Below are 9,464 nucleotides of genomic sequence, written 5' to 3' on the forward strand. Positions count from 1 at the left end.
AGGAGAGGAGAGTCCGGGGGAGGCGGCAAGGCTGCGCCCTCGGCTCCCCTCCGATCCCCGCGGGCCCAGCGGCCCCAGGCCGGGCCGGAGAGCGCCGAGCCGCCAGGCAGTGGAGGAAGAGAGGAGGAGGACCCGGAGTCTCGCCGCGGGAGGGTGCCCAGGGCGAGGGCGTGCGAGGGGGAGTGACTCCGCGCGCGAGGGTGTGTATGAGTGTGAGTGCGTGTGTGTGTGTCTGTGTGTGTGGAGAGGGGCGCGCGCGTGAGCGGGGGGTGGGGAGACGAGGCAGAGCCTAGTGCGTCTCCCCGGGCGAGTGGAGGAATCCTAGGGTGTGCCTGGAGGTGGCGGAGTGTACCGACGCGGGTGTGAGCGCGTGTGCCAGCGAGGGTGGGCACGGGGGTGAGCGTGGCAAGGTGAGCTGGGTTTGGGGGTGGGGGAGGAGCAGGGAGTACGGCGTGAGCGTAAGTTCGGGGGCGTGTGTGGCTGGGGACCCACGGAGAGGTGGCAGGGAGGGCCGGCGTGTGCGCGCGTGGGGTATGTGTGCACCTAGCTGTGTGTCTATTTCTCGCTGACTGTCCACAGGGCAGCAGCACCTGCTTGAGACCAAGCCCGGCGACCTGGCAAGGTGGGGCCCCCTACCGCGCAATCTTTGCGGCTGGCCCCCGGCTCTCAGCTCCGAGTGCAGAGGCTGAAGAGGTACCCGGGGGACACACTGCCTCTAACCCCACCTATGAGCCGCTCTCCTCTCGGAGGACGAAGGCACCATCAGAAGGTCGAGATTCGCCCTCCTCTCCCGCCACGTCTACCCACTACCTAGACCGGGAGTCTGGACTTGGGAGCGTGAACTCTCACCCGAGCCGGTCCCCTTACAACTGGAGCCCGCCCAGCCCCTCAGTCCCTCCCTGAAGCCCATGGGTCCCCACTGCTCCGTGCCTCGTCGACCCAGGATGGGGAGTGGGAAGGTCAGCATGTGCCCACAGGGCCAGGTGTCCGGCCCAGATTCCCACCCTCAGGGCGGCGGCGCGCAAAGGGCGCAGTCCCCGCCGCTGGGCGGACCCGCGGCTCCGGCTTTCCCGGTGTCTCCAGCCTCGGTGCCCGGAATCCTGGATCTCGGCCTGGCGCTCCGGAAGCGAGGCAGCTCCGTGCCCCAGCAGGGACGGGGAACGCTTGGCTTGAGAGATCACATTTCTGGGTGTGGAGAGGTGGGTGCCGAGGCAGAGAAATGCAAAGTGCGTTGTGACCTCTGGGGTGTTCTAGACTGCGAGGGTGTTCTAGACCCTAGGACAATTGTAGACCCAGGGCTGGAAAAGGACCTCCCTGAATCCGGAACGGGGCTTCTGGCTTGTGAGAACCCCTAGCCCTCTTCCAGATGAAGGAGTGGAAGTCGGTAATTGTGGTCTGGGCCCTTGTGGCCCCTGGCACCTTGGAGTCCCTCATTCACTCACTCTTACTTTTTCCGGAGCCCCCTTCAGTCTGTCAGTTTGAAAGGTACACAATTGGCCCTTCAGGAGGTGGGCGTGGGCTCCATTAGCGTTTGCCAGGAGTCCCGGAGCTGTGTGGGATTTGCATACAGTAATAATGATTAACAACACTGCCACTCCCTGGCAGACAGGGGAAGAATTCGGGGAAGGCCCTGGCGCTGCTCCCACCTCCCTCCTCCCTTTCCTCTGGGGAAGGGCTAATTTTCTGGCAACTGCACTCCTCAGTTGCTCTGACCCCTGGGATAAAGTGCCTCAGGTCCTGGGTGGTCACTACTCAGGAGGCAGGGGCACTTTCCTTCAGTACTCCATCCCATGTTCAATTCGGGAAAGTGAAACCCATATTTTATTTCTGCCCAGGTTTGAACTCCTGTACATTCTCACTGTTGTTTAGCATCTTGGGGGCAGCTCAGGGGTTGAGTGCCCCCCTCAGTGTTTGGAGGCTTCAGGAGACAGTTGGGCACATCATTTCTCCTCAGAAAGTCAACTAATGGGACAGTTGTGGCCTCCTGAGACTCGTAAGCTCCGTTTGAAGACCAGACACTGGTCCAGACACCTGCCCCCTCATTCCTCATAAGCTCGTAACTCATTGCTTAAGTGTGGTAGCTGTAGACTATTCTCTCCTTTCTGTCTTAACCATCTAGGGAAAATAGGAAAGACTGGGATTTCTAGTCTAGGCCAGTGTGGGTTTTGTTTACCAGTCCTTCCTACAACCAGGTGATCTGCAAAATGAGAGCAAGCGATGGGGAGAAAGGAGGCCCCTTGATTCGGGCAGCTGGAGTAGTCCTGCTGCCCAGGAGATGCTGTCCCTCCCACCAGTCCCCAGTCATCTATTGCATCTTTCCAGCACTGCCTGTCCTCACCTTCCCCCTCTGCCTCTGGTCCCGGCCTGGCCGGGATTTTCACTTGCTTTTCCCCCATGACACGGCCGCTTTTCCTTTAACTCTCAGCTTCTATTTAAAAAGCTAATTTGGGAGCTTGTCGATGCTCCCAATTCAGACATTTTAAATAGGAACTGAAAGTCAGGAGCTGCCAGGGCACTAGATTTCCTCCCGTTGCCACCAGCACAGCTGAGGCATTTGTTCAGTCACTCCTCTGGCCCTGGCCGTGTGTGTCTGTGTGTGTGAGCACCCGCGAGCTCAGGGTGTATTTCAGGCTATCTTTTCTATTTAAAGACGGTGCTCCTATGGATGACTATTCTTTCTCTGTGTGTGTGTCCTTTCCAAGCTGTGCACACATGAGGATTCTTCTTTAGTCTCATGGCTGTGGCCGGTATTTGCAAAGCTTGTCACCGTGTGGACTGTGAGGGTAATTGGGAGCCCAGCTCAAAGTCGGCTGCTTCTTTGCTGACGTGCCAGGCTAGTGTGTCTGCGTGGCTGTTTCCCAGGGCTGCTCTGTTCAGGCTCTCTCTTTGAAGCTATGCCTCATATGCCTGAGAATGTCCTTAAGGGTCACTCCCACCCTCACTGCTTATAGCTGTCCCATTTTAGCAATCTGCCCCATGCTGGGGCAAGAATTTTGGGGGTGGGCTGTACCTCTGAGGGTTACAGCCTTTCTACATTTAGGGTGCTATGTACCTTAGAAGTAAAAAGTACAGACTTTGAGGTGAGACTGCCTGGGTTTGAACCTGCGTCTGCTGTTAATTAGCTGTGTGATCATGTGGAAGGTACTTAATCCCTCTGTGCCATGATTTCTTCCTCTCTCAAATGGCAATAAATAATACTATCTACTTTATAGGGTTGTGAAAATTAAATGAAGTAACACAGATAAAGTGCTTAGAATCGTGCCTGGAACATGGGAAGTACAATATAATTGTTGGTTGTTGTTGTTCAAGGTAGGAGTGGTGCAGGCAGGAGGTGCAAAGAAATCTGTCTGAGGAGGAAGATAGAACTGCCGGATTGTACACAGAGACACATATAGTCACTCACCCACCCATGCATGTAACAATAAAAATGGCAGGCCACAGCCCACAGGCAGTCAAGTTCACCTTGCTGAGATAGTTAATTCTGTAAGTCCCAGAAAAGGGAGATTTCTGTTGAAGGAATAGAGGAAGAGTCTAGGGATAGAGATGAGGAAGGGGCTTGACCATGTCAGAAGCCCATGGGACATTTCTTGGGAGCCGATTTTATGCTGAAGAGTAAGTCCCGGGCCCCTCACTATCCATGTGGTCCCAGCCTCCCTTATTTAACCACTGAAAGCAAGGCCTTTTGAAAGTGAGCTCCAGCGAGAAACTCAGGAGGGTGGCACCTCATTCTCCCCAAGGCTCCCCTTGGGTTTGGGGTACTCTCACTTTCATACTGCCATTGCGTTCCATCCCTTATTCCCACAGCTGGGCATGTGAGCTTTTATTCAGTTGCTATTAGAGTTTATTTCACCTCGATGGGCCCGCAGGAAGCTGCTAGCAGGAAGAGGAGCTCTGAAGGACAGGAGGCTGTCCAAGGGATGAAAGCAACGTTGCAAATGCTTGGCTTAGCATATCAGCTGTAAGCTGAGGAGCCACCATATGTTGGGCTCCTTGCTAGATTTTCCATAATCCTGCACTGTAGATATTACCATCATTTTATTGATAGAGAACCTGAAGGTAGCTGGTGGAGAGGGACACTCCAGAAGGATGTGAGGCTGCATAGCTGGATTGGAACTCTGACCTCTCCCTTTTGCCGCTATCCCAGGATCCTTGGTTTCCCCGCTTCTGAAAGTAGAGTATCCTCCTCAGTCAGATAGAGGGGCTATCCTAAGAGGACACTCTTGACCTCTCCTGTATTTGGCCTCCATAAGTTATGTGTGGGGTTGACATAGTTTGAATATTTGTCCCCTCCAAATCTCATGTTAAAATGCAACCCCCAATGTTGGAGGTGGGCCTAGTGGGAGGTGTTCAGGTTATGGGGGCATATCCCTCATGCATGTCTTGGTGCCCTCCCCATGGTAATGAGTGAGTTCCTGCTCTATTAGTTCACGTGAGAGCTGGTTGTTGTAATGTGTCTGGCACCTCCTTCCTCTCTCTCTTGCTCTCCCTTGCCATGTGACACATCTGCTTCCCTTTCCCACCCGCCATGAATAAAAGCTTCCTGAGACCTCACCAGAAGCAGATGCTAGTGCCGTGTTTGTACAGCCTGCAGAAACCATGAGCCAAATAAACCTGGACTAATACGGGGGTGGAGGCTCAGTATGTCCAGGGTGGGGATGCACCCTATTTTTCTTCAGGGTGATGTCTGCCTGAGGAATTCCAAAGCTTAGGGGTGGCTTGGCTTTCTCTAGTTTCCCAAGGTGGGGTAGGAGGTGGTGGTGTAAATGCTGACGAGCTTTGCCCCAGTCTCAGAAGGCCAGGGCTTTGCCTACCGGGTATCAGCCCAGGTTGTCCAGCTTCCAGGCCAGGAGGCACTGTCCAACATTGGTGGCCCCAATGGCTGAATGCTCACAACTATCAGATGCTTCTAGTCCCTTTCTGAGGGTGGAGAACTCTTGCTTCCTGCAGCACTAACTCCATTTTGGAGGCCAGTAGTGGCCTGGATGGTCATCTCATTGATCAATATGCTTAGACCAGTTATGGCAAATGAGAAGCCATCCAACTTGCTGGGCTCCAGTGGAGCTTCTGAAAGTCAGCCCTTCCAGTGGACCTTCTGCCAGCCTGACCCCTGCTCCAACCAAGGCAGCTCCTGGGGAAAGCAAAGTCCAGGTGGAGGGTTTTCTGCTCATCAAGACCTCCCTTGGAGGGAGATGCTAGGGAAGGAAGAGGAGGGAAGAGAAGGAGGAAAGCAAATATGAGAAGGAGAGATAGGTACTGGGAGTTTGGGGGAAATCCTAATCATTTGTTTAGTTTCTTGCTAGAAAATCTGGAGAAGGGTGAGTGGAGGCTGGGGATATAACTCTTAGGTGCAATGACTTGTTTTCTGCTGGTGGTTTCTTTTGCTTGTGTGCTGATGTTTCCCAGGTCTCTGTCCTTGGCCTTCTTTGCTTCTCTCTCTGCCCTTTTCCCTGGAGAGTTTATGCAAGTCCATGGTTTCAAGTTCACTCAGATGCTTATGATTTCTTCCTGCACTCTTCTGTTCCCAGTAATGATCCACTGTGCATCTCCATCTTTGTACATAGGCACCTCTATGCTTCATCTCACCAGTGGCCTTAATCCTTCTGCAATCAATTGTTTCCCCTAAAAAACCCTCTTCCTATCATGGTATATCCTCTACTTTCTTTCCAGCCTTACCTTCTTCTACTTACTCACATCTTCCTTTCTAGCATGTAGATCTTTTCTTCATTACCTGCAAAATCTCATATCTTCATGTCTTTGTACATGCTGCACCCTCTTCCAGAAATGCCTTCCACCACTTCCTATTTCCTTTGTCTTCCTAGCAAACTTCCACTCAGCCTCAAACCTTAAATACCCAAGAAAAAAGTCATGTAAGTGTTGGTAAAGTCCTCCCCCACATCCCAGGATGAACTAGTCGTTCCCCACTTTGGATTTTCACAGTCCTTCCTGCATACCTCAAATATGGTTCTTATGACCTGTATGGCCTTGTTTTCTGCATAGTGGTATCCCTCTCTGGACTTCAAGCTGTTTATGGCAAGGACCGTTGTCAGCCATTTCTGAATCCTAGCTCAGTGCTCGGGACATTGCAGATGTTCAATACATTTGCATTAATAATTTATTTTAACTTTAATTTACGTGGCTCCCTTGATTGTATGTAACTGGGAATATGTGATTAATTTGTCAACTGGTTGGTCTCCAGGTCCTATCTGATTGATCTTAAGCACTAGCATGAGGACAGAAAGAAGAATGAGGGTGTTCCATTTTCAGCTGATCCTACATGAAAAGAGCCCCAAAGCCCCACTCCTCCAGTAGGGAGGAAAGGAAAGTCTTTTCGTATCTACAAAGTGAGCCTCAGTCGATGCTGCCTGCAGAGACCTTGCCAGTGTTCTTTTCTTGAACCAGATTGGTTTTCAGATAACTCTTTTCTTTCCTTTCTGGCAGAATGTCAATCACATATCCAGAATATCACCTCCTTGGGCACAGCCAGGGCATGGTCCATTGAAAATGTTCCTGATTGCTGGAAGCTGACGGCTCACCATAAAAGCCAAAATGGGGACCTGTCAAAAATGTTTTAGCCAAACTATGGCTTGGCTCAGGAAGATGCCAAGACCAAAGGCTGCTGAACTTTAAGTATAAACTTGCATGAAAAGCACATTGCAGGTCTGAGACAGTGGAGGCTTAGTGGTGAGAACATGAGCTCTGGATAGACCTGGCTTCAAGTCTTGGCTCTGTCATTCACCAGCTGTGTGAATTTGGGCAAACCACTTTTCTTCTCTGATGCTCAGTTCCCTCACCTAGCAAAATGGGTTATAATGATGGCATCAACTCATAAGGTTCATGAGGACTGAGCTAGATAATGCAAACAACATGTTTCATATACAATAATAAATAAAAATGTTGGCTGTTATAATATTGTCACTGAGTCTACATGTATCTGAAACTAGCTCTTTTAAATCCTGGGTACAGCTTTACAAGCAGTATTGTGTAGTTTAGACAGATCACCTGAGTTCTTTCTATGTAATTATTGTTTCTACTGAACCTTGGTAAATGTGTGAAATCACAGAAGTTTGTCCCTAGACACTCCCCTCACCCCACTGGCTCCTCTCTCCATTCTGTGCAACCCCATTTCTGCAGCCTTGAGCTTCAGCCCATTTCTCTCCATTTCCTCCTCATTAGCAAGAACTGATAAAATTATTTGAACTGATATGTAAGTGACCATCTCATCCAGAGATATAGTATTCACATTTTAGTAGGTCAGAGCCTTAAGCCAAGGCAGTGAAATAGAGTGGATGGTACTTCAAGCATTCATCAAAGTAATGGGGAAAGTTTGGGGTCCCAGGAGACTCTTCCCAATTCCACAGAGTCCTGCCCATTCATAAAACTGGTACTATTGATGCATTATAAGCAACAAGGTGGTCCGTGTTTGAATTCTGCAGCTGGAAAATCAAGTCTCCAGCTTTTGCAAAAGTGTTGTAATAGGGAAACTTGGACACTAATTTTATATACCAACCTCTTCTTGGTAAAGAGACATAGCTCATGAGCACCAAGGCCTTTCCAGCATTGCACATCTATGATACTTATACTCAAGTGCATTTTTTTCTTCAGAGCTCAAGGCTAGAGTTGGGTGTTTTTGCCTCACTGGGTTTGTAGGAGACTCAGCTACAAAGTCATTAATTGCTTTGGTGAATCAACAAGTAAAGAAAGACAGTCCAGCTATTGTCCCCACACTGCAAAATCATAAGAGGCTTCTGGACTTCTCCACAAAATCCTCATTAAAGATGAGTCCTCATGGCTCTTACAGAATTCTTTATTATGTCCTTTGTGCTGAGACTGCAAGGTAAAGAAAGAAAAAAGGGAAATAACTAAATTTGTTATCATGGAAAATTTCAAACATACAAAAGATGAAAGAATTGTATAATATACCCCCATGAACTTGTCATTTAGCTTTGAAAGTTACCAACTCATGGCCAATCATTTTTCATCTGTACCCTACTCACACACTCCCCCACCATAATTTTGAAACAAATTCCAAATATAATTTCATCTGTAAATATTTCTGTGATTGCACCTTTGTTATGGCCAACAAAATCCATCTTTCTAGAAGAGAAGTCATTCTTCCCTCCCTCCATGATGCTAAGAACATTTGGCCAGTACCTGCATCCATGCCCAGGAGTGGTCTCTGGGTTAGGCAAGCTTGAGGGTTTACTGAATGTTATCCAAAGTTTGTCCTTTTCCTTGGGTAGAAAAAGGAACCCATAAAATGTCTGGTAGAGGTGCCACTGTGTGCAAGCTTTTTTTTTTTTTTTTTTTTTTTTTTGTCAGCAGGGATGATGCTCAATAGCTGTGATGAGGTCCAAGCTGAGAGAAAAGAGTCATGATCATGAATCCCAACTGGATTCATCATTTTCCACATACTTTACTTCATTTAGCTTTCACCAATTCTCATGTTAGTTCCATTTTACAGATAAGAAAACTAAGACCTAAGCTCACCCAGCTAGTAGTTACTTGTGGCAGAGACAGACTAGATGCCAATCAAATTCAGTTCCTCTTTTCTGTAGATACAGTTAGATTACTTTCCCAGGTTCTCTTGCAGTTAGGTTTGGTCATCTGACTAAGTTCTAGCCAAAGTAATATAGGCCAGTCCCATGAAAAACATCTAGGGCAATTTAGCATGTTCTTTCTTTCTCCATCCACTGGCTGAATGGAAAAAATTTCAAGGGCTTAGAAGGGGACAGAGCCACAAGAAGGAAGGAACTTGGGTCCCTGGGTGACTATGTGAAGTAGAGGTCCCTCCCAACTTCCTTTGAACTGTGAAATACGCAAAATAAATAAATAAATAAATTTTTATTATGTGAAACTGCTGAAATGTGGGTGATGTATGTTCAAGTAGTAATGCCTACCCTGACCAATACAGTGGCATAGATGGGATTTAAACCCTCAATCTGACTATGCCAGTGTCCAAAGTCTTCCCCTAAACCACACTGCCTCCAGGCACAACAAATAAGAATTGCTTATAAGAATCACCTACATGCTCAGCATGTGATAGGACTGTCTTCAAGGAGATCTCGCATCTTAGATTTGTGCTAATATGATAGCCACTAGCCACATGGGGCTGTTTAAATTAAAGTTTAAATTAATTAAAATAAAGTTAAAAATTCAGTTTCTTAATTGCAGGCTCACATTTCAAGTGTGCAGTAGTCTTATGTAGCTAATGGCTACCACATTGGAATGTGCAGACAGAGAACATTTCCGTCATCATGGAAAGTGCTGTTGGATAATGCTGTCTTAGATAGACCTTCATTCACAACGCACCCCTCCCCAGACCCCTGCAGAAAAGCTGGAAGAAGACGGGGATGCTGCTCACGAGAGGGCGGAGGGTAGCATAGCCAGCAACCAGATTGTCATAGACATAAAGGTCTCTCTCTCTCTCCCCTGACCTGAACCTTGGATCTTTGTTCTTGCCTTTC

The 9,464-nt window shown here is 48.7% G+C and overlaps 1 long non-coding RNA gene across 1 annotated transcript; it reads left to right on the forward strand.

The window, feature by feature from the left end:
• Positions 548-8,854, forward strand: LINC01750 (long intergenic non-protein coding RNA 1750). Its single transcript, NR_145438.1, has 2 exons — positions 548-1,199; positions 6,439-8,854. It is a non-coding gene; the product is annotated as a long intergenic non-protein coding RNA 1750 (long non-coding RNA).
• The last annotated feature ends 610 nt before the right edge of the window (positions 8,855-9,464 follow it).

Source organism: Homo sapiens, chromosome 1 (assembly GCF_000001405.40).
Source record: "Homo sapiens chromosome 1, GRCh38.p14 Primary Assembly".
NCBI classification, from domain to species: domain Eukaryota; kingdom Metazoa; phylum Chordata; class Mammalia; order Primates; family Hominidae; genus Homo; species Homo sapiens.